The 26,703-nt window shown below is 43.2% G+C and overlaps 1 protein-coding gene across 82 annotated transcripts in view, besides 6 other annotated features; it reads left to right on the top strand.

Moving 5' to 3' along the window:
- The window catches only part of CYRIB (CYFIP related Rac1 interactor B), a 177,537-nt gene that overhangs the window by 62,546 nt on the left and 88,288 nt on the right, over positions 1-26,703 (top strand). For 19 of the 82 annotated variants that reach the window (NM_001353266.2, NM_001353297.2, NM_001330612.2 and 16 more), the window contains exon 1: positions 14,773-14,976. The exons of the other annotated variants lie outside the window; for them this stretch is intronic. The gene's annotated coding sequence lies outside the window, so the exon portion shown is untranslated. Of the gene's footprint in view, positions 1-14,772; positions 14,977-26,703 lie in introns of those variants that run through there. 82 annotated transcript variants of the gene reach the window in all.
- Positions 8,736-9,236: an enhancer, noted in NCBI's record as "H3K4me1 hESC enhancer chr8:130957594-130958094 (GRCh37/hg19 assembly coordinates)". NCBI's record gives its function as "activates a minimal SCP1, AML or CMV promoter by ChIP-STARR-seq in naive H9 embryonic stem cells {active_cell/tissue: H9 hESC(naive)}" and the evidence as "EXISTENCE:reporter gene assay evidence [ECO:0000049][PMID:30033119]".
- Positions 14,296-14,535: an enhancer, noted in NCBI's record as "active region_27973". NCBI's record gives its function as "activates an Ori minimal core promoter by ATAC-STARR-seq in GM12878 lymphoblastoid cells {active_cell/tissue: GM12878}" and the evidence as "EXISTENCE:reporter gene assay evidence [ECO:0000049][PMID:35858748]".
- Positions 14,746-15,245: a silencer, noted in NCBI's record as "silent region_19541". NCBI's record gives its function as "represses an Ori minimal core promoter by ATAC-STARR-seq in GM12878 lymphoblastoid cells {active_cell/tissue: GM12878}" and the evidence as "EXISTENCE:reporter gene assay evidence [ECO:0000049][PMID:35858748]".
- Positions 19,913-20,453: an enhancer, noted in NCBI's record as "NANOG hESC enhancer chr8:130946377-130946917 (GRCh37/hg19 assembly coordinates)". NCBI's record gives its function as "activates a minimal SCP1, AML or CMV promoter by ChIP-STARR-seq in primed H9 embryonic stem cells {active_cell/tissue: H9 hESC(primed)}" and the evidence as "EXISTENCE:reporter gene assay evidence [ECO:0000049][PMID:30033119]".
- Positions 19,913-20,521: a biological region, named in NCBI's record as "Sharpr-MPRA regulatory region 603".
- Positions 20,227-20,521: a silencer, noted in NCBI's record as "tiled region #603; K562 Repressive non-DNase unmatched - State 18:Pol2". NCBI's record gives its function as "represses a minimal TATA promoter and a strong SV40 promoter by Sharpr-MPRA in K562 cells {active_cell/tissue: K562}" and the evidence as "EXISTENCE:reporter gene assay evidence [ECO:0000049][PMID:27701403]".

Here is a 26,703-nt window from a genome sequence, read left to right as displayed (position 1 = left end):
CATCCAGAAACTCTGATGCAGGCACTTATAAGTACAAGCAGCCTATTAAATTAAAAAACTAGGCCAGGCGCAGTGGCTCAAGCACGTAATCCCAGCACTTTGGGAGACTGAAGTGGGTGGATCACCTGAGATCAGGAGTTCGAGACCAGCCTGGCCAACATGGTGAAACCCCATCTCTACTAAAAATACAAAAATCAGCCGGGCATTGTGGCCAGCACCTGTAATCCCAGCTATTCGGGAGGCTGAGGCAGGAGAATCGCTTGAACCTGGGAAGCGGAAGTTGCAGTGAGCTAAGATGATACCATTGCACTCCAGCCTGGGGGACACAGCGAGAGTCTGTGTCAAAAAAAAAATTAAAAATTAAAAAGCTAAGTAAATACTGAAATGGACTATAGACATTTTCTCCAAGTCTGTGGGTTGAGATAAGACCAGAGCTTGGGCAAGGTAACATTCTCCCCTTTGCCCTCTTCTGTGTATTACAACTTGGGGAGAGGGATACGTTCTCATTAAACCTGTGTTCTAACATGAAATCGGCACCAGGATTTTAGAAGGGAAGCTTGCTAAACCAGTTACACTTCTTAACTGGTCCATTTTTTTTAAGGTTTATGCAATATCTTTCCTTTTGTAGCCTCAAAAAGTGACTGTGAGAACCTAAGCTCTTTCGGACTTTTAGTTTATGTTTGACTTTTTCCTGTCATTCTGTCTAAATCTCTGTATTTCAAATACTAGGTTACACAGTAGTGACCTGATCATTTAGGCTAATTTTGGGCGAGGGTTCAATCTTACCTCCTTGTCTTGCTTATCTGATTCCCTGGTTCCAGCTCTGTGGCCATGCTGGGGATTCACAGTAGCGTTAAAACCTAGGCCTGTGCTGATTCAGGCTGGACCAATGCCATCTCCTTGACCAGCTGCAGCTGTTTGTTGAGTGCCCGCCTTGTGCCAGGCTCCGTGCTCTCACTGGGGATACAGTGGTGACAAAATAGTGTGGCCGCTACCGTCCTGGAGCTCACAGTGTTTAAGGAACCACACAATAACCATACAATTGCAGTGATGGTGTGTGCTGTAAACAAGAAGCACAGAGGTTGAGAGCACGTGCACAGGGGATCTGACCTGGTTTGCTCAAAATGGCAAATGCATGGCTGTGATGAGGAACCCAGGCCAATACCTGGGGGCTCTAGGCATTAAGAGCAGCAAGTGATCTCAAGTACAAGTTGGGACCAGGTGAAGGGGTCAAGAGTCCGCTCACGAACAGCACTAGGGTCCCTGTTATTGGATAAAGTGCAGGACAAGTCCTTCCCTGGACATCTCCCTGCCACCCTCCCCTGACCTTCCCAAGCTGGAAGGAACTCTTCTAGCCCTTTAATTTTACAGGATATATCATCCGTGTCATTTATTTGGCAGTTGTGCGTTGCTTTGTATTGGAGTAAGTAGTGTGCCTTTCATCCCCTAGAAGACAAGTCTGTTTCCTACACTCTATGTCCCCCAAGTAGGTGACCCTAGATGAAATGCTTGATGGATCAGTTGGCTAATGAAAATGCCTGTGGCATTCAGTTAGTCTTAGAATGTGGGCCTCTTTCTTCTTGCCTCCAAAGCAGCTGATCAACAGAAGGTTCGGAATGAAGAACAGTAACACGTAACAGTTCCAAGTGTTCCTTTGTGCTAAAATTTACCAAAGCTTCTGTGGATTGAGGCAGTTAATGGGGGGAAATTCTATCAACCTAGGAGTAGTTTAATAGATATTAGCTTGGAATTAAAAGTTCAAGGTAAATTGTCTTTCCTTTATCTACTCACTTTTCTTTCTGCCTGTGTGATTCTATTTCCATTAATAGAGTAACTACCAGCCATGAGCCTTCTGTTTGCTTTGGCCCCTCCTATCTTTCCTTATTTTCTCCATCAGGTTCTCTCCCTTGGCCACTTCTGCTTCCTCTTCTCTTCCATATTTCTCCTGTTCACACTCTTCCTTTTTAAAATGCCATCTTTTTGGACAAACAAAATGGTTCAAAACGTTAAAGAAAAATGAAAAAGAATATTATTTCACTTCCACATTCATCTTGTTATCATTGAGTTTTACCTTCTCTGATCCTCTCTACCATTTCTCCATAGGGGTACATATTTTATATTAATTGTATATACAATTTTGCATTCTATTATATATAACTTTATTACGTATTTATTGTATACATACATATACATGTAATATACATAATTATAAATGTAATTTTTGGCCGGGTGTGGTGGCTCATGCCTGTAATCCCAGCACTTTGGGAGGCTGAGGTGGGCAGATCACCTGAGGTCGGGAGTTCGAGACCAGCCTGACCAACATGGAGAAACCCCATCTCTACTAAACCCCATCTCTACTAAAAATACAAAATTAGCTGGGCATGGTGGCACATGCCTGTAATTCCAGCTACCAGGGAGGCTGAGGCAGGAGAATCGCTTGAACCTGGGAGGTGGAGGTTGCGGTAAGCCGAGATTGCACCATTGCACTTCAGCCTGGGCAACAAGAGCGAAGCTCTGTCTCAAAAAAAATAAACAAAAACAAAAGGTAATTTTTGCATTTTATGATATATGTAGTTTTGTACTTTGTTCTTTTAACTTAATATTCACATTTTTAAATTCAATGAATGCTAACTGAGCTCCTACTATATGCCAGACATTGTTCTAGGGGCTGGGGACACATTCGTGGACAGACCAGCCATAAATGCCTACTGTCATGGGCTTAGGTCTAGTTCATGGAGAAAGACAATAAACATAATACAAACGATGTTAGGAGGTGACAAATGTTATGGAAACAAAGAGTAGGGTGAAAGAAGATTGGGAATATTAATTTATAAAATAGTTTCTTGTGTTTCTACCATTTTCTTTCTTTTTTTTTTTTGAGATGGAGTCTCGCTCTGTTACCCAGGCTGGAGTGCAGTGGCACAATCTTGGCTCACTGCAACCTCTGCCTCCCGTGTTCAAGCAATTCTCCTGCCTCAGCCTCCTAAGTAGCTGGGATTACAGGCACGTGCCACCACGGCCAGCTAATTTTTTGTATTTTTAGTAGAAACGGGGTTTCACCATGCTGTCCAGGCTGGTCTCGAACTCCTGACCTCATGATCTGCCCGCCTCGGCCTCCCAAAGTGTTAGGATTATAGGCATGAGCCACCGCAACTGGCCGTTTCTACCATTTTCTTATGTCCTCAGTTGTATGTTGTCCTTGAGGTTGATGGATTTTAATGTATTGAGAACCTTAGGACTATATAACTTTATTATTATTTTTTTGCTTTGTTTTTCTTTTGAGATGGAGTCTCGCTCTGTCACCCAGACTGGAGCGCAATGGCACAGTCTCGGCTCACTGCAACTTCTGTCTCCCAGGCTCAAGTGATTCTCCCGCCCCAGCCTCCCGAGTAACTGGGACTACAGGCTCCCGCCACCACACCTGGCTAATTTTTGTATTTTTAGTAGAGATGGGGTCTCGCCATGTTGGCCAGGCTGGTCTCAAGTTCCTGACTTGAGTGATCTGCCTGCCTTGGCCTCCTAAAGTGCTGGGATTATAGGCGTGAGCCACCCTGTCTGGCCAGGACTATGTAACTTTAAATCATGAGAAGACATGGGAGTCATTGAGAGCAAACCCTTCATTTCTGAGGTGAGGAAACAGGTCCAGAGAAAATAAATGACTTGCTCAAAATCGTACTGCCCCCAAGTAGCAAAGCAGGGGCTTACATTGTAATTAAAGTGATTTTCATTAATTCTAAAGATGGTTCTTTCAGAATCCTACTATGCCCTTTCCCTATAGTGGGAAATTTAATTTGTGTCTGGCTTTTATTATAAATAATGCTGCAGTGGGCAGCTTTATACCAACAGCATCTTAATGAAAGCAAGTCTGTTAATAAAAACAATAATAATAAGTAATAGAAAATGTTAATATTTACTGAGCTCTTAAATTTTCTGTGCCCTGTGCTAAGTACTCTACATGAAATAATTTACATCTGACAATGAGTACCATTAGTTTCTTCATTTTTTTTTTTTTCTTTGAGATGGTCTTGCTTTGTCACCCAGGCTGGAGTGCAGTGGCGTGATCTCTTCTCACTGCAACCTCCACCTCCTGGGTTCAAGTGATTCTCCTGTCTCAGCCTCGCAAGTAGCTGAGATTACAGGTGCACGTCACCACGTCTGGCTAATTTTTGTATTTTTAGTAGAGATGGGCTTTTGCCATGCTGGCCAGGCTGGTCTCGAACTCCTGACCTCAGGTGATCCGTCTGCCATGGCCTCCCAAAGTGCTGGGATTACAGGCGTGAGCCACAGTGCCCGGACACTGTCTTTATTTTATAGATGAGAAAATGAAGGGATTAAAACTTAAGGCTGACCAAGCCCGGGGTCTGACTGTCAGCTTCTATCATACACAACTTTGCGAGTTTGAATATTAAAACAGCAATTGTCAACAAAAATGCCCCAAACTCTCAAATTAAAAGAAAAAAAAGCAAATGTCAAAAGCCAAGATAATCAGGTACATACATTTATTTAAGAGTTTACCAAACATTTAAGTTTTACCCAAACTTTTACTGATTATGTTTCCTATGTAATTGTTGCTTTTTATAGCCAAAGACAGTTGGAATTGGCAATTTCCTAAGTTCTACCTATTATTGTAGTCAGTGCTCACAATAACACAGTGAAGTAGGTGATAATTGTGGCTGTTTTATAGATGAGTAGTGTATTATTATTATTATTTTTTTTTAAGATGGAGTTTCGCTCTTTTTGCCCAGGCTGGAGTGCAATGGCGCAATCAACCTCTGCCCCCTGGGTTCAAGTGATTCTCATGCCTCAGCCTCCCGAGTAGCTGGGATTACAGGCATGCACCACCACGCCCTGCTAATTTTTGTATTTTTTTTTTTTTAGTAGAGACAGGGTTTCTCTATGTGTTGGTCAGGCTGGTCTCGAACTCCCGACCTCAAATGATCTGCCCACCTCGGCCTCCCAAAGTGCTGGGATTACAGGCATGAGCCACCATGCCCAGCCTTAGTGTAGTATTTCAGGTGGAGCTTGGTCACTGAGGGATTTAGTTAATGTTTACAGAAAGGAAAACGGGCTGGAGAAGCAAGGCAGGTGGAATGATTTATGCAAAGCAGGGAGCTAAGACTTGGTCTAGAATCCTGGTTCACCTCCTCGTAGGTATGTAACCTATGGCAAAGTACTTGAACTGTTTGTCCCTCCATTTTCTCATCTGAAAACAGGGAAGTAATAAAATATCTTTCATAATGTTGTAAGGATTGCATTATAAATGGGTAGAAATCACTTTCTGTAATAATGGCAGAAACTAAGCAATTGATCAGAGATATTGGTGGTAATAGTTCTTCTGTCATTATATTTCACATTAAATCCTTTTGTCTTCTAATGATGGTATTTCTGTAAAACAACAAATCTTTTTTTAATGGCATTGATAAATTAATACACTTTATCAATCTTTTAAAATGTCATTGAAAATTAATGACTATAGACACAATTAAGAATTCTCTTTTTCTTTTCTTTTGAGACAGGGTCCCACCCTGTCGCCCAGGCCAGAGTGCAATAGTGCAATCACGACCCACTGCATCCTTGACCTTTTGAGCCAAAGCAATCCTACTGCCTCAGCCTCCCAAGTAACTGGGACCACAGGCTCACACCACTGTACTCGGCTAATTTTCCTTTGTTTTTAAATTTTTTCTACATACAGGGTCTCCTCATGTTGCCCAGGCTGGTCTCAAGCAATTCTGGGCTCAAGCAGTCCTCCCACCTTGGCCTCCCAAAGTGCTGGGATTACAGGCGTGAGCCACCACACCTGGCTGGAATTCTCTTTTTCTGTAGGCAAAGATTTAATTCTGATGGTATGCTATGTAAGGTGGGTGGAAAAGCAGAGATGAACTAACCTCTCCATAGGTTTTGGGGTCACAGTGGGGTGAAGCTCAGAAGTGAACGGCCCACCCTTTTTCTCCCTTCCGTTCCTCTGGAGCCATCTATGATTTTATGGCATCTTGTCCCTTCCTTCAGGTGGCGCCCTCCTGTGCCTGTGCCTTTTCCTGATGGAAGGAATGGGATTGTCAGAGCTAAACATGCCAAGTGAGCAGTCCTTCGTGCTGCTGAACCACACCAGGGGCTGAAAGAGCTGTTTGTGGAAGGGGTGGAACCTTCTGATCATGCCCTCTTGGATTTTTTTTGCAGCCAGTGAGTCTGTAAATGGAGCCATGGGCTTGGTCTGCAAACTGCTTACAGCATCAGTCAGCATGGTGGGGAACAGCCTATCCCTTGGGAAAAACCTCTCCTCGAGGGTAGGGCTTGGGAAGAAGTGAAGGCGTGCAGAAAATCTTTTCCTCTTCTCCCTATTCAAATCTTGGCAAGAAAGCACACTCTTCATTTCTGTTTCCTGTATCAGCAGCACATTCCCAATTTGAACTTCAAGGCATCGTCCTTGCTTCGTCATACATCAGCTTTTCCGGCTGCAAACAATTTTGCTTCTCTAGTTGACGAGGACTCTAATAACTCCAGGTGGTGAATGGGCGGTGGGGAATACAGTTCTGTAGAAATACAGCTCTAAAGCAATACAAACACAGAGGGAAAAAATGGGAAGCTTGGCAAGGGGGAAGTGCTGGAATAAAGCATTTTACCTTTATTGACATTGAAGAAACCTCCCTTCAGCTGAACTCCAGAATCATTCAACACTTCATGGTTGAGCTGCACAGCGGAGTGTTATATAGCCTTTAACAGCGATGTGGCTGACGTTCCTTTATTAAGAAAGGTTGATAAACTGTGAGGTGGAAAGACAGCAGATTACAATTCAGTAAATGAACCATTTTAATAAAAATATGTGCTGCCTTTATATAGATATAGACAGGAAAAACATTTGGAAGGGTGTCCACATGGTGTGGGTGGTTGGATCATGGGTGTTTATTTTTTCTTTCATTTGCTCATATGTATTTTCAAATTTTTTTGCTGCAATCAATATGTATTACTCATATAATCAGGGTGAATAGTGCATCGGGGCACCTTATTTACTGCTCGGGTCCTCCCTTTTTTTATCCATTCATTCAACATATTTAGGGAGGCTCTCCTAGGGGCCAGGCACCATGGCAGGAACTGCAGTGGGCATGGTGATAGCTCTGTCTCTGCCATCACAGCTGACATTGTAACAAGAGGTGGTTTTTGGTTGTTTATTTCTTTGGGGTTTTTTTAGTTAAAACATTTTTAAGCTAAAAATGTAAAATAATTAGAGACTGGGCACAGTGGCTGACACCTGTAATCCCAACATTTTTGGAAACCGAGGCAGGAGGATCACTTGAAGTCAGGAGTTTGAGACCAGCTTGGCCAACATGGCAAAACCCCATCTCTACTAAAAATATGAAAAAATTAGCTGAGCATGATGGCATGTGCCTGTAGTCCCAGCCACTTGGGAGGCTGAGGCAGGAGAATCATTTGAACCTGGGAGGTGGAGGTTGCAGTGAGCCGAGATCGCACCACTGCACTCTAGCCTGGGTGACACAGCAAGATTCTGTCTCAAAAAAAAAAATAAATAAATAAAAGAATTAGAGTTTGTGATAAGCGCTGTGAAGGAAAAACACCAGTGACATGCTAGGGAATGAGTGAAGGTAGGTGGGGTTCACCTTTGGAAGGGTGATGGGGGGTTCACCTTTGGAAGGGTGATGGGGGAACTGCTTTGAATCCGAAGGCTGACAAACAGCCAAGTGAAGAGACTGGAAAGTGTACTTGAGGTACAGAAGGGAACAGCCAATGTGATGCAGTGGCACCCTTTTTTCTTCCTGCAGGTCACCTGAAGGGTTGGGGAAATGAGACTTGGAGTTGCCCCACTTGTGAGAAATATGTTAGATTTGCAGATGTGCCGGAGGCTCATAGATAAACCTTATAACTCGGGGGAAATATGGCTCTAAGGACAGCTTTATGGCTCCTGTGAGACTGGTTAATGTTTTGCTAAATAACAGGAAGGTGTCAGTTTGATTGGTTGCCTTCTTACTTGGGTTCTTTTTGAATAGCGGCTCTGATGTCATCTTTCAATGCTGGATGAGCTTCTAGCCCTTCCCAGGGGATTCTCAGGCCTCTGTCCCCTGTCCTCTTCCCCTTTCTTCGTTAAATATCCATGGAGTCCTCATCCCTAAGGCAACACTGGAGTCCCTGACTATGGTGGAAATGTTTGGAGCTGTTTTCTAAAGGATTCAGTGTTCATTCATCCTGTGAAAAGGAAGAGAGAAACAGTTGATAGAACTCCCTGAATGTTCAATTGAGGAGCGAGACTGGATACAGAGGCAGCAAAAACTATACTCTAGGTGCTGAAGCATATTGAAAGATGTCTTTGAGTGAAGGCTGGCAGCAAAATATAGAGTCTTCTCTAAGGACAATTGGGCAATAACAAATCAGGATCTAAAAAATTTTCAGATCCTTTGACCCAGTAATTACAATCCAGGGAGCTTACGCTGAGGTCAGAGTTTTTTTAAAGGGAAAAACAAAGAAAACAAAATGTCTCTAACAAAAGTTAACAGTCAATAATGACATAGTGCTTTGGAGCTTTGAAAGTATTTTCTTATACAGTCTTCATGAGAGCTTCCCAACATTTCCGAGAAGTAGATTGTCTTATCTCCATTTCACAGATAGGAAGCAAAGATCAAGTGAGTGGGTCTAGTTCACTCTGGCAGATTTAGGACCTGAGCTGCAGCTCATGGATGGCTACCCAGTGGGTTTGGTCAGAAACTCAAGGTACAGCTGGGTGCAGTGGCTCCCAGCACCTTGGGAGGCCAAGGTGGGCAGATCCACCTGAGGTCAGGAGTTTAACACCAGTCTGGCCAACATGGTGAAACCCTGTCTCTATTAAAAATGCAAAAATTAGCCAGGTGTGGTGGCTCATGCCTGTAATCTCAGCTACTCACTCAGGAGGCTGAGGCAGGAAAGTCGCTTGAACTCGGGAGGCGGAGGCTGCAGTGAGTGGAGATTGTGTCACAGCCCTCCAGCCTGGGGCGACAGAGCAAGACTCTGTCTCAAATAGATAAATAAATAAAAATACAAAAAAAAGAAACTCAAGGTACAGTGGTGGGAGTCAAAAAAGCATAAGGAGAAAACCAAGACTGAAAACTGTTATTGAGCTTAGTCTGTGCCTAGTTCAGTCCCTAGCATTTTACAAGTTTTCTCTGAGTTAACAAACTTGTGGGGGAAACTGAGGCTTTCAGATGTTGAATAACTTGTGTAAGTTGTAGAGCAGGTTTCAGAGCCTAAGTTACATCCAGAGCATAGACATGGTTTCAGCTCTGCTGTGTTGCCCTCTGCATTCACAGGAATGCTTTGTAGAAGGAGTGAATACATGAACACATGAATGAACAAATGGATTAGGGAGTTAGGACATGAAAACCAGCTTCTGTGGAAACTTGGACCTCAGGCTCCCCATGGATGACAGGTTCTTTTCCATAGTTCCGCATTTTTTACCTGCAATACAGCAATGCGGTTGCCCAGGCCCCTCCCAGGAGAGTTGCAGCTTCCCCGGAGGCCACACTTCTCCAACACCTTTTGCCTAAAGGCTCTTTTTCCCTAAAGGCTCAACTCATCCCTTGCAAAATACCCAAAGCCAAATGAGTCTAGAGGGTAAACCAGCCATGTAGGATGTGGACCTTTAGCAACTGAAGGAAACTGAGGTATTTCAGTATGATGAAATACTCTGTAGTCATTAAAATGATAGATGTGAGTGTGTAGAAATATGAAAAAGTATTGGGAAAGAGTTGCACATATCTGAAGAAACCAATGAAAGCAATGTGCATTTATTTATTTATTTTTGTTTTTGTTTTTTTTTTTGAGACAGAGTCTTACTGCGTTGCCCAGGCTGGAGTGCAATGGTGGGATATTGGCTCACTGCGACCTCTGCCTCCTGGGCTCAAGTGATTCTCCTGCCTTAGCCTTCAGAATAGCTGGGAATACAAGCGTGTGCCACCATGTCTGGCTAATTTTTGTATTTTTAGTAGAGACGGGGTTTCACCATGTTGGCCAGGCTGGTCTCGAACTCCTGGACTCAAGTGATCCACCTGCATCGGCCTCTCACACTGCTGGGATTACAGACGTGAGCCACCGCGCCCGGCAAAGCAAGTGCATTTACATGGATAAAGATTGGAAGATAAGAGGAATGAAAACTGTGTAAAAGTATTGATATCACGTGGTGTCACCATCCAGTTTGTCTGCTAAGCCAGGAGCCTCTGGGTCATCCCGACAACCCCAGTCTCCTCTTCCCCCAGATTGAACTTGCAGATTCTGCATCAGGTAGCATCTTAATTCCGGTGCCTGTTCTTCATCCTCGCTGCCAGTTTCCTTGAGCAGGCTCTCCTTATCCCTCTCCTGGACCCCACAGCAGCCTCTTAACTGCTTTGCTGGCCCTCTGTTCTCCCTACCACTGTAGTCCATATTGGACCCTGTGGTCAGAGTGATCCTGATATAAAACATACCTGATTATGTGTCTCCCTTGGTTAGAAGCGTCTCTTTACTTGTTGTTGCCTTCAGAAGGCAAGTTCAAATTTCTTAGTATGGTGTATGATGTCCTTTACAATCTCAGTGTGTCACAGCACCCCCACAATCCCTGCCAACCCTTGGCCCCCTGCGTTTTCTCCTTGGCCCTTTCCCCTTCCCTTAAAGACCAAGCTAAGAGGTCTCATTCTTTTTTTTTTTTTTTTTTTTTAAGATGGAGTCTCGGCGGGGCGCGGTGGCTCACGCTTGTAATCCCAGCACTTTGGGAGGCCGAGGCGGGCGGATCACGTGGTCAGGAGATCGAGACCATCCTGGCTAACACGGTGAAACCCCGTCTCTACTAAAAATACAAAAAAGTTAGCCGGGCGTGATGGTGGGCGCCTGTAGTCCCAGCTGCTCGGGAGGCTGAGGCAGGAGAATGGCGTGAACCCGGGAGGCGGAGCTTGCAGTGAGCCAAGATTGCGCCACTGCACTCCCGCCTGGGCCACAGAGCGAGACTCCTGTCTCAAAAAAAAAAAAAAAAAAAAAAAGATGGAGTCTCACTCTATTGCCCAGGCTGGAGTGCAGTGGTGCAATCTTGGCTCATTGCAACCTCTGCCTCTTGGATTCAAGCAATTCTCCCACCTCAGCCTCCCAAGTAGCTGGGATTACAGAGGCGCGTGCCACCATGTTTGGTTAATTTCTTTCTTTTTTTTTTTCAGTAGAGATGGGGTTTCACCATGTTAGTTAGGCCATCTCGAACTCCTGACCCTAAGTGATCTGCCTGCCTCAGCCTCCCAAAATACTGGGATTATAGGTGTGAGCCACTGCACCTGGCCAAAGGTCCCATTCTTTCTGAAGCCTTCACAATTGTCCCAGGGAAAGCTGTTTCCTCTACCCTTCTGAATTACAACGAGTCATGCTTTGTTTTAAGTGCAAGATGACAGCCTGTCCTTTCACTAAACTCTCAGCCCCTCCGGAGCAGGGACTTGGTGTCTTACTCTCCTTCTTCCCAGACCCTCAGCCTGATGCCTAGGACACAGTGCGGGGGGGCGGGTGGGCGGTGCAAAAATGTGTGTTGATTGAGTGAATCAATGATTGAGTGAAACCATTTATTCTCTATAGGGTTTTAAAACTGATTTAATAATAAATAAAAATTTCCAAGAAAACAGCACTGAAGGAAAGCCACAGGACCTTGTGAAATTTAAAAAAGTAGACAGAGACAATGCAGTGTCCATAGAAGCTGTGAAGTTGACAGATTGGGTTTGAATCCTGCATCTGTCACATACGGAGTTTCGGTTGCCTCATTTATAAAATGGGCCTGATAATAGTACCATATAGGATGGCTGTGAAAAAGCAAAAGAAGAAAACAAGTCAAGAGCGTAGAGCTTAGTACAGTGCCTGGCACATTGTAAGGACTCACAAAATACAGCTAGCCACAATGCGTAAATCATCATTAAGAGACTAGTGCTCTTATGTAAGCCCTTTTTTTTTGCATCCTTTTGTTCAATTTTTCAACATAAGTCTTTGAAAGCTTTGCCCTCGGCAAAAATATGATCACATTCATGCAGAATGATGAAGAAAGGATTATAGAAGAATAAATTCAGCACTTCTTATAGGAGTCTTGTTTTCTGAGCCAGCTCCCTCTTTTAGGGAATTCCCATGTGGGGTAATGGAAGAACTTACTTGTGAGTTCTTGTACATGGCAGGAATGGACCCAGGGCAGCTAAGGAGAAAGGTGCATGTGAGAGGGGTATTCCGTGTTCCTCACAGGACTCATTGTATTTTGTTATTATTATTATTTTTTGAGACGTGTTTCGCTCGTCATCCAGGCTGGAGTGCAAAGGCAAGATCTCAGCTAACTGCAACCTTCACCTCCTGGGTTCAAGCGATTCTCCTGCCTCAGCCTCCTGAGTAGTTGGGATTACAGGCGCCTGCCACCACGCCCAGCTAATTTTTGTATTTTTAGTAGAGATGGGGTTTTACCATGTTGGCCTGGCTGGTCTCGAACTCCTAACCTCGTGATCCACCTGCTTCAGCCTCCCAAAGTGCTGGGATTACAGGTGTGAGCCACTGCACCTGGTCCAGTATTTTATTATTATCACTTCTCAGTGGACTGCTTCTTTGCTGGACTGTAAGCTCCCTAGGCCAGCGTCATGTCTATATTGCTCTCCATAGAGAAAATTACGACCAGTGGATGAAAATTGTTGTGCATCAGATTTTTGCTTAGTGTAAAAGAGGTTCCTCACAATCAAAGGCTGATGATTGCAGTAATGAGCTCCCTGTAGTTGGAGATATTGGAGCTGAACTAGATATTCATGTGTTGAAGATAATATGAAAGATTTCTGCTTCTGGTGGGAGATAGGGTTAGAGGTGTGTGGTTACTCAGAGCTCATATCTAAGGGACTTTGCACATGTATGAACTCCTCCTCCTGTTCACATTGAGGACAGTGATCCATCTGGACCCAGGTTATCTGAGGTTGGACGTCAGTATGTCAGACAAGTGGACCAAGCTTCTTGGATTAGGAGGACTTTTCTATCAGCATCAACATTTGTAAAACATCATCTCCAGCTGGGGGCGGTGGCTCACGCCTGTAATCCTAGCACTTTGGGAGGCTCAGGCAGGTGGATTGCCTGAGCTCAGGAGTTCGGGAGCAGCCTGGGCAACATGGTGAAACCCCGTCTCTACTAAAATACAAAAAATTAGCCAGGCATGGTGGTGTGCACCTGTAATCCCAGCTACTTGGGAGGCTGAGACAGGAGAATCGCTTGAACCTGGGAGGTGGAAGTTGCAGTGAGCCGATATCGCGCCACTGTACTCCAGCCTGGGTGACAGCGAGACTCCATCACCAAAAAAAAAAAAAAAAAAATCTCCTTCAGTTTCATTGAAATTGACCAGAATTATAATAGCTACAATATAGAATCCCTGAATCCTCCTGAAGTATGATAATTAAGGTAAAAGTCTGAGGCCTAGGAATGTTGCCCTTAGTGTGTGCCTTGAAAAAGCCACTTCATCTCTCCATGACTCAACACGTTTCTAAGTAATATGCCCACCATGTTACATACCATTTGGTTTCTACATAACTCAAGAGGAAGACAAAAAGGCTAAGGTAAGGGCTGCCCTTCTGTGTTTTGTGGCAAGGAGTGATTTCTTGGCCCCATAGAGTAAGGCGCAGATAGTTACCGGAACCTTAGCTCTTTGACTAGAGCTTCGTTCATAATCAGGATTTCATGGATAGGCTCCCTGGTTGCATGAAACTCCTGAAATTTTATGCAAATGTGTGTGCATGTCTGTATTTTCCCGGGGGGAAAAGTCCATACTGTTACAGTATTTTCAGTTGGGCCTGTGACTGCAAAATGTTCATAATCATTTACCTCCATCTTAGTGATCTGCTCAGCTGTCAAACTGAAAACAACCCTGGGAGAGATAACATTGTCATCTTTTCCCCTTTAATGTTAATAAAAAAAAATTCAGCTTTATAACAGGATTAGGAGAAGCTAGCTAGATGGGATGTTCTGTTTTTGTCTGTAAAGGGAAAGGGATCATTTATGTTCAAAGAGTGAAAGGGGAATTAGGGAAGTAATTAAGAGGCTGTGCCCTCTGTCACATCCAAGTTTCTGCCCACTAGATATTTTTGCCCAGAGTCGACCCCAGAACAGGGGTCTGATATATCTGAGAGTGTTGTAAGTGGAGTCTAATTTTTGTTCTCAGAATGATCATTTTTCACCACCCAAGGGCGTCTCCGCGATACCATCGCAGGCGGTAACAGTACAGTCTCCTGGCGCTGGGCGCCTGCCAGGAACACGTGCCGCGCCGGGAATCGCGGGCGAGGCTCAGTACCTGACCCAAAGGGGAGAGGCGCGCCCGCAGCCTAGCGGTTCCAGGCGTGGGGGGAATATGGCAACTTCGCAGGGCTCAGCATCGAGTCCCGAGGTCCAGTTCCTGCCATTTCCAAGCCCGCTGACAAGAGGCAGGTCACCGCCACCTCTGAACCTCCGTTTCCCATCTGTACATCTGGAAGGCTGGAAGACCCCAACCCACTCAGAAGCTATCTCGGCGCGATATTTGCGAAGGTGCTGCCCCTTTAAGGAGGCCGGGGTGCAAGGGGGTGGCCACGCCTCCTTCCTCTGCACGCCGCGCCCGCCGACCACCTGTCTCTGGCTTCGCCCCGCCCCTTCGGGAGGGGCGGGGATGAGGGGCGGAGAAGATAGGCTAAGGATTTACCTTGCGGGGCGGGCGTGCGGCGCATGCGCACGGCCGGACAGGTCCGCGGCGCCCTCACTTCCTGGCATTCCCTCCTCCCCCTCCCCGTCGTTACCCTGTACATCCGGGTCACTTGCCCTCCCCGCTCGGAGCTGCCGCCTGGCTTGTCGCGGCTCTGCCACAGGGGCAGGTGTTGAGGGGCTCCCGGTCCGGCTGCCGCCGCTCCCCCGCTCCGGACCCGGGGCTCCCCCTAGCGCCGCTGAGGAGCCGCCTCTGCGGCTCCAGGAGGGCGCAGGAGCGGGACTGAGAGCGCCTGGAGGCTCGAGCGGAGGGTGAGTGATTGGTTTTTGCCATTTTCCCCTCTTCCTTCACACTCCTAGCTTTCCTGCTCTGCGACCCCATTTTGGCGAAGAGGCGGGTGCGGCGGGGCCCGCGCTGGCGCGGGGCTTCCTCCTTTCCAGGCGCGCTGGGCCCGCCCCCGGCCCCGCGACGCCCCGGGCCCGCTTCCTCTGTGGCCCCGCGGCCCCGGCCTGCCCCCGGCGCTCATTCATTCGGGTCTTCCTTTCTTCCGCCCCCTTCCTTCCATTGGCACCTCCACGCGCGCTCTCGCCGCCCCCTCCCACCCCAGATCCTGCGCCCGCCAGTGACTCCTGGCTCGTTGGCTCGTCCCTTCCCGTGTCGGCGTTGTCCCCCCTCCCCAATCCTGGCTCCCACCACTCCTTCCTCTTCGCGGCCGCTTTTTCTCCTCATCCCCTGTTCCCGTCCCCAGCTCCACACCCCCTTATCCCCCGGGCTTCGCCTCGCCTCGCCTCGACACCCAGCCCTCCTGGTCCCTGGTTTTGAAGTTGGTGTCTTTATCGCTCCCCATCACTTCGCCTTCCACCTGCGCGGCCAGATCTTCCAACTTAGATACTGCGTTGTCCTTTTAATTAATGATCAGCGTTTAAAGTCCAGATTCTCAGTCTTAGGGTGTGGTCTTAGTGTGTTTCCAAACGCGCAATTTCTACTATAATTACCCAAATCTATAACTGTCAAACTCTAGTGGAAGTGGCAATTGCTGTGTGTGTGTGTGTATGTGTTTTAACCTCATGGCTATTCTGGGTCATACTGAGTACCTTTTTTATTTTTTTCATGGAAGACTTCTATGATGGATTAATTTCCTCTGAGTGTAAAATTTGGCAGAAAATTAGTATTCTTTCTACTCCTCTGGATTCCTCCTCACTTGGCCCCTTGACTGATTTGCAACATTACCTGTTAATACATTGCTGTAGAAATGTTTGTTGGTGAGACTTTGTTGTCTCATCTGTCAGCAACATTGTTTGAGTACCCCTATGTGCGGAATACTGATGAAATGCCTGAATCCTTGGAGTACCACAAAGTGCCATTCTGGATAAGACAAAGGTTTTTGGAATTTGCTTACACGTTTTTTGCTACTTCTGTGTAAGTGTATTGAGTTTGCCACCTTTTTACCCCTTAATCTCTATGTGAAAAATGTATGTCAGTGAATTTTGTGTGTTTTAAGTCTTACGGTGTGGGAGATCGGCATTCCAAAGGAGTGTTTTATATAGCTAAAAGAATTTCAGTCACTCGGGTGTTTGGTGACTTACTATCGCAAATTATTTTAGACTAATATACCTCAAGAAAAACACACTGATCCTTTTAATTCTTTAATTGTATTTAGTAATAGAAACAGAAGCTTTGTGTCTAGAACTGCTTGATAACTGGGGTTTATTTGATAGCCTGTTTGCAAAGTGTTGCAGTTAACTGAAACTCCCTAATCAGCATTCATAAAATGAAATGACAGCACTTTTTTTTTTCATGTGACTTTCATATCCATAATAACGAACGAGAGGCTCTTAGTCCTAAAGTACACCTACCTGCATATCATTATGATGGTGCTATTGCTGTAAGTATTTATGGCAGCATTTTCTAACAGCTTCGTTTTTGGGGAGCTTGGTGTTAAAAAGGTACTTGGCTGTTTGTCCCCGCTTAGGTTTTGGATAACCACTTCAGTAGTAAGATTTCCTAACTCATGAGAGAGAGAGAGAGAGAGAGAGAATGTGTATTTGCAGAACAGTTTTGCTAGATAATAATGTTTAAGAATTCTTTAAAACTTTAATAGTGATGTAGCTGTTTGTCAGGGAACTCTTGCTTTGTAAAATGTTCTAGGATATATAGTATGAATTCTAGATTATATAATTGGGTAGAGGCTAGATTTTTGTCTCCCAAGAAAGTGGTTGGTTGATCAGAGGGAGGCGTGGTTAGTAAGTTAATTCTAGCTGCCCCAGAAAAAGTATAATTTCAGATGTTGAGTAAAACTAAGTGAATGCAGTTTATTTTTGATAGATTTTTGATTGACGTTTAACTTAATCGAACTTAAAATTCATTTTTCTGAACTCTCCAGGAATAAACGGGTTTTAAAAATTTACAGGTTAAATTAGTGTCCCTCTTGAGATTATTTGACTGATATTTGAAATGGTCATTTATCTTTACATAGTAAATAACAATTGATGGAGAAGTATAGAGGGGTGCTTATTTTACTCCTAGTCTCCATGGGGGAAGATACTGGATTGTCACTTATTTGAGGTTACTTGACTCTTTCTAAGTATTAATGCATTCAACTGTGAGAACCTACAATTTTCTCTTACATTGTTTAAGGAAAACAAGACTATAATAGTTGGAAATAGCTTTGTGACATACCTCCTATTTTTGGTCTCTTCTTTTCTGTAACTACACCAGAGTTTAGCGCAGTGCCTGCCTGGTGCATAGTGGATACTCAATAATTATATTTTGAACAATTGAGTTAATGGCAAGGTCAAAGAATCTTAGACTGTAACAGCATTTTGTAATTATGTGGCAAAAAATTTTGATAAAGATGTTGATTGCCCTGAGCTGTAGTTTTTTCAGGTATCTTGTATATTTTTAAGACTGCTGGCTGGGCGCAGTGGCTCACGCCTGTAATCCCAACACTTTGGGAGGCCGAGGCGGGCGGATCACGAGGTCAGGAGATCGAGACCATCCTGGCTAACATGGTGAAACCCCGTCTCTACCAAAAATACAAAAAAATTAGCCGGGCGTGGTGGTGGGCGCCTGTAGTCCCAGCTACTCAGGAGGCCGAGGCAGGAGAATGGCATGAACCCGGGAGGCGGAGCTTGCAGTGAACCAAGATCTCGCCACTGCACTCCAGCCTGGGCGACAGAGCAAGACTCCGTCTCAAAAAAAAAAAAAAAAAAAAGACTGCTATATTGGGTTATCTAATTTGCTTTGAGATCTTTGGGTGAGGAAGTATAGACATGATTTTGTGTTATACTTTAGTTCATAGAATGGATTTGTTTGCTTAGAATGGGCACTTGATATATGTATCTTGTCAGCATTCATGAACAACAGTGAATTCAAATAATTTATTGGGCATTTAGAGTTTCTACAATTATACATAAATGTTCTTGGATGTGTGAACTCATTCTATATTATGATCAGTTCACTAAATCCTGGCTCTTAATTACGCTGTAGTATTGAACACCTACTGTTTGCCAGATTCCTTATAACCATTAGGTTAGTTTTATAACAACTCTGTAATGTGTAGGTTAACTTCTATTTAATTTCTAATTAACATTAGGAAAGTAAGGCTCAGAGACCTTAGGTATGCCATTAATCATAATTAAATATTTCCAATTAGGTATACTTGTTCAAGTATACTCCCAAGTGGGAGACGTTGAAGACTGGCATTTGAACCCATCACGTTTACTTAAATTCTATTTCAACCTACTAATTTGAGGTCTTATATTTTATATTAAGTATTTGTAAAACATACTTAAAACAGCAAATCTCAAAACTTTTTCTTTTTCAGCTGCCAAGGAGGATGGATAATGTTCACTTGTTCTGTACTCTCCTGTAAGCATATACAGGATTGACAGCTATAGCTTCACCCCTTTCCCACTTATGCAAGTAATTAGAATGCAAATGAGTCACATTTGTAAACTTTTTAAACAAAGAAATCATTCTTAGAATTTTGATTATTTAAATATAAACATTTCTTGCAACACACCTTCACATCTCGATAATGGTACCATGGGTCAGAATGACTACTTTCAAAGATATTGTGTGATTTTGTTGAAGTAGAAGACTTAATGCAGAGATATATTTTTGTAGCTATTCATTTTGAAAAGATTGATCATCAACATTAAGGTACTATTGTATGTGACACTGTGAAGCCTGAGTCCTGTACAGTTATTTTCTGCTAATGCAGTAATCTCTTCTTGGTATATTTTAGTTGATGCATTATGTATGATATATATTAAATTCTAGATTGATACAGACCCTTTCTACTGTGTCTAGAGCAGGGGTCCCCAACCCCTGGGCCGTGGCCTGTTTGGAACTGGACTGCACCACAGGAGGTGAGCGGCATTACTCCCTGAGGTCTGCCTCCTGTTAGATCAGCGGAGATAGCATTAGATTCTCATAGTAGCATGAACCTTGTTGTGAATTGTGCATTAGAGGCATCCAGGTTTTGTGCTCCATGTGAGAATCTAACGCTTGGTGATCTGAGGTGGAACAGTTTCATCCTGAAACCATTCCCCCTGTCGCCCTGTCCGTGGAAAAATTGTCTTCCACAAAACCATTTCCTGGTCCCAAAAAGATTGGGGACCATTGATCTAGAATATTTATTCCTTCCAATCATACATTGGTATGTCTTCAGATAATCCAAATTAACCTGAATACTACTTTAGGTCAAGCATTTTCAGAAAACACTTGCTAAGAAAGAAATTATGACATAGTCCCGGATGTCATAATGTGACGTAATATGTCATACTGTTCTCGGACCAAAGTGAGGATCACTCTATTTCTCGTGGCCCAATAACGAGATGCAGGTGAACTGGAGAGGAAGAGAGTTTTTATTTTCTGCAACCAGTTATAGGGAGAAGGCCTGGAAATTATTGCCAGACCAACTCAAAATTACAAAGTTTTCCAGAGCTTATATGCCTTCTAAGCTATATGTCTATGCGTAAGTGTGCATTCATCTAAATACATAAGTGATTAACTTCTTTTAATCTATAACTAAGGTCTAAGTCCTGAAGAGCCTCCTCCAGACCCTCAGTAAATTTACTTAATCTAAACGGGTCCAGTTGCTGGGGGTGATTACCCTTATGTTGTCTCCTGCAAAATCATGAAGGTTTGGGGAATTCCTTCGGACCCCCAGTAAACTTGTTAGTGGAGGCCTAGGGAGTTTCTTCAGACCCATAATAAAACTTGTTTAATCCTAAATGGGTCCTCTTAAGAATTCCTTCATTATTTTGTCATGCTTTAAGGCCTAGGAAAGGCCTAGGCAAAACTCATGATGGGCTTTTGTTAATCCCAGGCTTTGTTTAAGGGCACTGGCTTTTAATATTTAATTTAACCACTCAGTACTGAAACAGTTGTTGTGGAGGCCTGCATTAGTGAGACCTGGCCTGCCGCAATATGACATAATGTATCATAATATATATTATGACCTATCATGATATGACATATCATAATGTGATATTATAATTTAAGATTTATGCCAGCCCTTTTTCATGTAAAGTTGAGATCCTTCTTGGGGCTAAGACTAAGCCAGGTGTGTTTCACATAAGCATTTTCCATTGATTTACCGCATTGTTAGTCATTGAGTGTAAGCTGACCCACCTCGAAATAGGAACATCAGGCTGGAGACTCGTGAGGCCTCCATGAGTTAGGCATTCAATTTCCACTGGAATCCAGAAGCAAGCTAATAGCTGCTTTTCAGAAGGCGTAAACTTGATTGCTGTGTCAGGGAGGTAAAGCGTTCAAAACCCCAAGGGGCACCTGTAGGTGGAGGCTGCCTCCTTTTGTCAAATCCTCTAATCAGTGAAATCATGAGACTTTATGGCTCAAAGTGATCCTTAAGGTTGTGGGGCCCCAAAGGTACTAGTACACTTTTATACATACAGCCCTTTCTGATTGGAAAAACCCTCACTAGCTCTTAAGTGAGTCTTTTAAGTACAAGCACAAAACACATCAGGTTCTTCTTCTTCTTCTTCTTCTTCTTTTTTTTTTTGTGTGTGTGACAGAGTCTTACTCTGTCACCCTGTCACCCAGGCCGGAGTGCAATGACGCAATCTTGGCTCACTACAACCTCCGCCTCCTGGGTTCAAGTGATTCTCCTACCTCAGCCTCCTGAGTAGCTGGGACTACAGATGCGTGCCACCATGCCCAGCTAATTTTATATTTTCACTAGAGACAGGGTTTCATCAGGTTGGTCAGGTCTCAGAACTTCTGACCTCAAGTGATCAGCCCGCCTCGGCCTCCCAAAGTGCTGGGATCACAGGTGCGCGAGCCACCGCACCCGGCTTATCAGTTCTTACTATACATTATGATGTAGAGGCAACAATAAGCACATTGAATTGGTCCAAAACATCCCACCCATAAGTCACATTTATTTTCCTAACCCCTGTAAACCCTGTCCAGACCCTATTAGCTTAATCTGGGTGTCTGCCTGACAGGACTAGATAGAATGGTTACCTGGGTGCCTATTTCCAAGAGAACCATAAAATTTTGAGTCTCTCCCTGAACTTCTCTGGGCAAACCTCCTAGTATGTCTGGCCTTCAGTCCATCTTGGGGATCAGGGAGACCTCAGCCCCATTCCTAACCATCTTGCTCATTAAAGCAGAAGAGTTTGGGGGTAGGAGCAGAGAGGGATCAGGGAGTGTGGAGGGGGAGAGAGCAACTTGGTGCTGGTAATCAAGGCTTTATATTCACTTTGGGTCATTCTCTCGCAGTTTAATGTTTCTGGTCTACTTGAAGCTCTGTAGTTGGCAGCAAGGTCATCATTACTTACACCATTTCTTTTAGTTTAGGGGATTCCTTGGCTCAGCAGTCACAGCCACAGCCTTTCATGTGGGACCATGGGGCTTGTTGCCCTTATTGTTATGATACTCCCCTCCTTCCACCAGCCCAGAGGATAGTGAACAACTACCAACCCACCATTTGGGTGGCTAATTTCAGCCTCACTTCTCACTGCTCAGTTTCTAAACATTAATTCCACCCTGTTCATTAACAGGTAAACAGGTGGGGGAGTCTTTATTCCCACCTTCTTCCCATCCACCACTAGGATCACTCTCAGATTCCAGGGTATCTTCCCTTGTCCCAGAACTCAGTCTGCAGGGCCTTTATCCTTTCCCTTAGAGAGTTATGGCTATGTCAGCATCCCATCCTCTTTCCCCAGAACTGTCAAGAACCATGATGGTCTGAGATTTTATCCTACTTGCAAGCTAATAAATTATCCTGCCATATTTTCATGGAATCTGGTAGAAGACATGAAACTCCTGTGTTAAAGATCAAGGGCAGATTATTATTCTCTATAATAGTAGTAGCCAGAGTATCAGCATTTGCACTGGTTTTCTGAGCCTCAGTCTACAGGATGATGTGAAGAGGACCAGGTAGTACTTGTACACCCAGTGGGCTTTCTTACTGGAGAGAAGCCCTGAGTTAAGGGAACCCAGATCTTTTCTAATGAGCAATAAGCACGCCTGCCCTTTGCTCTGGAGGAATACATTATATTTATTATACTGAACAGACAGTAAGCATGCTTGTCCTTTGCTCCAGAAGGAGATACTATCTTTATTTCTCAAGACTGTTCACTCTACAAACATTCTTGAAAAGATACTCTCTAGAGCAAAGGGCAGCTGGTACCTCTGCTTGTACTGTATGCAAAAGAGATACCTATGAAGCAGCCTACCCAACATGGTGAAACCCTGTCTCTACTGAAAATGCAAAAAATTAGCTGGGCGAAGTGGTGAGCACCTGTAATCCCAGCTACTCAGGAGGCTGAGGCAGGAGAATCGCTTGAACCTGGGAGGTGGAGGTTGCGGTGAGCCGAGATTGCGCCACTGCACTCCAGCCTGGGCAACCAGAGTGAAACTCCATCTCAAAAAAAAAAAAAAAAAAGAAGATACTTATGAAGAATTATTTCCTAACATATATAAATTATACCTCATTAAATCTGACATTTAAAGAAGTGCCAGGCATACTGACTCACGCCTGCAATCCCAGCAATTTGGGAGGCTGAGGTGGACAAATCACTTGAGGCCAGGAGTTTGTGACCAGCCTGGTTGACATGGTGAAACCTCGTCTCTACTTAAAATACAAAGATTAGCTGGGTGTGGTGGTGCACGCCTGTAATCCCAGCTACTTGGGAGGCTGAGGCAAAAGAATCACTGGAATCTGGGAGGTGGAGGTTGCAGTGAGCCAAGATCATGCCACTGCATTCTAGCCTGGGTGACAGAGGGAGACTCTGTCTCAAAAAAAAAGTTCCTGGCATGTGATAAGAACACGACACATATTATTATTATTGGTGCTGTTCATTTTTTAATCTGTTTTTGAGGGCAAAGTTATATGTAATGACCTTGGTGGAAATTTGAGATTAATTTTCTCAAAGATGAGTTGGTCACTTTAATAACATTTACTCAAAAAGTAATGACTGACATGTTCATACGTCTTTCAATTTGAAAGAGATTACAGGGTTTTAAGAATTTCAAGGACATTGAATTTAAGTGAAATATGAGAAAACCATCTTGGGATGCAAGGTGTGAGATTAGTTTGCTTTCTTTATATCAAACCACAGTTCTCTACTTTAAATTCTGGCAAATTCCAACAAACTAAATGATGTAAATTAAGAACATTTTCAGGGAGGCTTCTTTCCCTTTATATGTGTAGATTTAGGTAAATGAGAGGCTAGCATAGTTAGTGAAGGGAATGTTCAAATTCACAATTTTTCTTTCTTTCTTTTTTTTTTTAGGGGAGTAGGGCTCCATTTTATTTATTAGCATCTTATAAATTATCCTCCCTTCCAGTTATTTTCTGTAAACAAGTCTTGTAAAAATGTTATTTTGAAAGCTAACTTGCTGAATATTATTTGTTATATTTGAATTTATTTTTATTTAAATGTTAGATACTAAATGTGTCCTGGTATTTAGTAAATATATTTACCGAGTTTTTTTCAAAAGTATGGAGAAGTCAACTTCATTTATTCCATTCATTTGGGTTAAAGCATACGTGAATTTAGAGACTTGGAAACTTAAAACAGTCTTCTTGCTGTGGAGCTAGTTCTCAGTTGCCAGTGGGTAAAAGCAGGTGGATCCCTGAAAATGAGGGATGAAGCATTTTGGAAAGTCTTTTTGATATTTGGAACTGCCTGTATTAAAATGTGAATATAGTTAAACTAAAGCTCTGTCTTTTTATTTATAGAACAGTATGTTGAAGCAGTAGTCAAAATATGTAGCCTGGTTGGCAACCTTTTGAAATGGGTTGCCAAAGTTCCATTATGGTATGTGCGATGGTGACAACTGGCTAGTGTTCAGTCTTTGGTATGTGGCACTGACCTCTTAGTAGTCTATTAACATTTTAAATGTGTGTCTTTTAAGAACTTAGTTTTAGCAGATTTTCATTGTTCATGCCTTATAAGCAACTTTTAAAAACAGTGTTTTATTAAAACTAAAGTTTTTAAACCATTTTCAGTATGCCTAGTTTGGGTAGGAGGGTAGCCTATGGATTTAAATAATTAAAATATATATATATATAAGCACTTCACAATTCTTCCTAGTTGAGGTCTGCAAGTGGAACTTTTTGTGAAATTCTTTTACTGCCCCTTGTCTCTCAGATCCCTTCTAGGATCTTGTTAGGGTCTCATAAGTAAGAGATGAATGAACAGTTTTATTTGTTTGTTTGTTTTTTTTGAGACAGAGTCTCGCTCTGTCACTCAGGCTGGAGTGCAGTGGTGCGATCTCGGCTCACTGCAAGCTCCGCCTCCCGGGTTCAAGTGATTCTCCTGCCTCAGCTTCCTGAGTAGCTGGGATTACAGGCATGCGCCACCACGCCCGGCGAATTTTTGTATTTTTAGTAGAGATGGGGTTTCACCATGTTGGTCAGGCTGGTCTCGAACTCCTGACCTTGTGATCTACCTGCCTTAGCCTCCCAAAGTGCTGGGATTGCACGCATGAGCCACCGCACCTCGCCAGTTTTGTTTTTAAACGCATAACTGGTTAACTGTATTATAGAAACTGTCCTAAGTCATAAAGTAGGGCTAAACAGGTACCGGTACCCTAAAACAATTTATTCCAGGTAGTTTTAGCCACTGTATCCAGGTTACATTGCACATAAAGTCTTGTAGCAAATTCCTGTACCTAATCATGACCCTTAGAAGTATTCCACTAAAAGGCAGAAAGTGAAAATCACTTATATAATGGGGATAAGTGGTATGTACGCCATTTTGGTATGCTATTTTAATTTATGTTTTCATTTAAAATGTTTTGTTTTCTCACTGGTTTTTGGCTTTGGCATCTAGAAAAACCTAATCATTCCTTCAGTAAACATAATTATATACTAAGTTTTTTTCACCATCTTTTTAAAAACAATTTTATTGAGGTATACTTTATACACTATAAAATTCATCTATTTCAAATGCACAATTCACTGATTATTAGTTAGTTTATTCAGCTTTGCAACCATTACCATAGTCTAGGATGTTGTCTGTTAACCCAGTAAGATCCCTTGAAATCGTATTCATCTTCCATACTACCCCCTGCCCCAGGCATCCACTTTCCTATCTTCTAGCTCTTACACACTGCCCTTCCCTTCCTCTCCCTCTCCCTCTCCCTCTCTCTCTTCTCCCCGTGTCTCCCTCTTTCCTTCTCACACTCTCTCCCTCACTCTCTCACTTTTGCTTGATTATTCTTTCCTGGACATTTCTTATGAATGGAACATACAGTATCTTTTATGTCTGGCTTCTTTCATTTAATTTGTGGTTCATGCATGTTGAGTGTATCAGTAATTTGTTCCTTTCTATTGTTGAGTAATATTCCATTCTGTGGATATGCCACATTTTGTTTATTCATTACCAGTTGATGGGTGTTTGGATGGTTCACAGTTTTTGGCTGTTATAAATAATGCTGCTGTGAACATTTGTATGCAGATATGTGTGGACATATGTTTTCTTTTGCATAGATGCCTAGGAATAGAATTATTGGGTCATATGGAAAACTTATATAATTTTTAAAGAAACTGCCAAAACCAGACTGTCAGTGCTATTTTATGTCCTACCAGTAGTGTATGAGGATTTCAGTTTCTCTGAATCTTCCCAACACTTGTCATTATCTTTTTGATTATAATTATTCTACTGGGTGGGAGGTAGTATACATTGTGGTTTGAGTTTCCCTAATCACTAATGATGTTGAGCATCTTTTCAAGCCATTTTCTTCTTTTCTTTTCTTTTTTCTTTTTTTTTTTTAAAGAAAGGATTTTACTTTGTCACTCAGGCTGGAGTATAGTGGCATAATCACACCTTACTGCAGCCTAGAACTCCTGGGCTCAAGCGATCCTCCTGCTTCAGCCTCCCAAAGGGCTGGGACTACAGGCATGCAGCACCAAGCCATTTTTTCCATCTGTTTCGGTGAAATGTCTGTCAGGTCTTTTTGCCCATTTTTAATTGGGTTGTCTTCTTACAGAGTTGTAAGAGTTCTTTATATATTTTGTATCCAGGTCCTTTGTCAGATACATTATGTGCAAATATTTTCTCTCAATCTGTGACTTGTCCTTTTCTTAATGGTGTTTTTTTTTTTTTTTTCTTAAGAGATGGGGTTCAGAGTCGAGGTCTTGCTGTGTTGCCCAGGCTAGACTCAAACTCAGGGCTCAAGTAATCCTCCTGCCTCTGCCTCCTTAATAACTGATGCTACAGACGTGTGCCACCACACTTGGCTGTTAACGGTGTCTTTTGAGGTGTAAGCATTTTCACTTGGTAGAGTCTAGTTTAACTTTTTTTTTTTTTTGCTGTTAAGAATGGTGCAGTGTGTGTCATATCTAAGAAATCTTTGCCTCACCAAAGATTATGAGATTTACTCTTGTGTTTTCTTCTAAAAGGTTTCTAGTTTTGGTCCTTGCATTTAGGTCTATGATCCATTTTTGTTAACTTTATGGTGTAAGTTACTAAGTTCAACTTTTTGCCTGTGGATTTCCGGTAGTCTCCGAACCATTTTTGAAAAGACTATCCTTTCCTCTACTGAATTGCCTT

This window comes from Homo sapiens, chromosome 8, assembly GCF_000001405.40.
Source record: "Homo sapiens chromosome 8, GRCh38.p14 Primary Assembly".
In the NCBI taxonomy this organism is placed as follows: Eukaryota; Metazoa; Chordata; class Mammalia; order Primates; family Hominidae; genus Homo; species Homo sapiens.
This window is presented reverse-complemented; position numbering and strand designations above follow the sequence as displayed.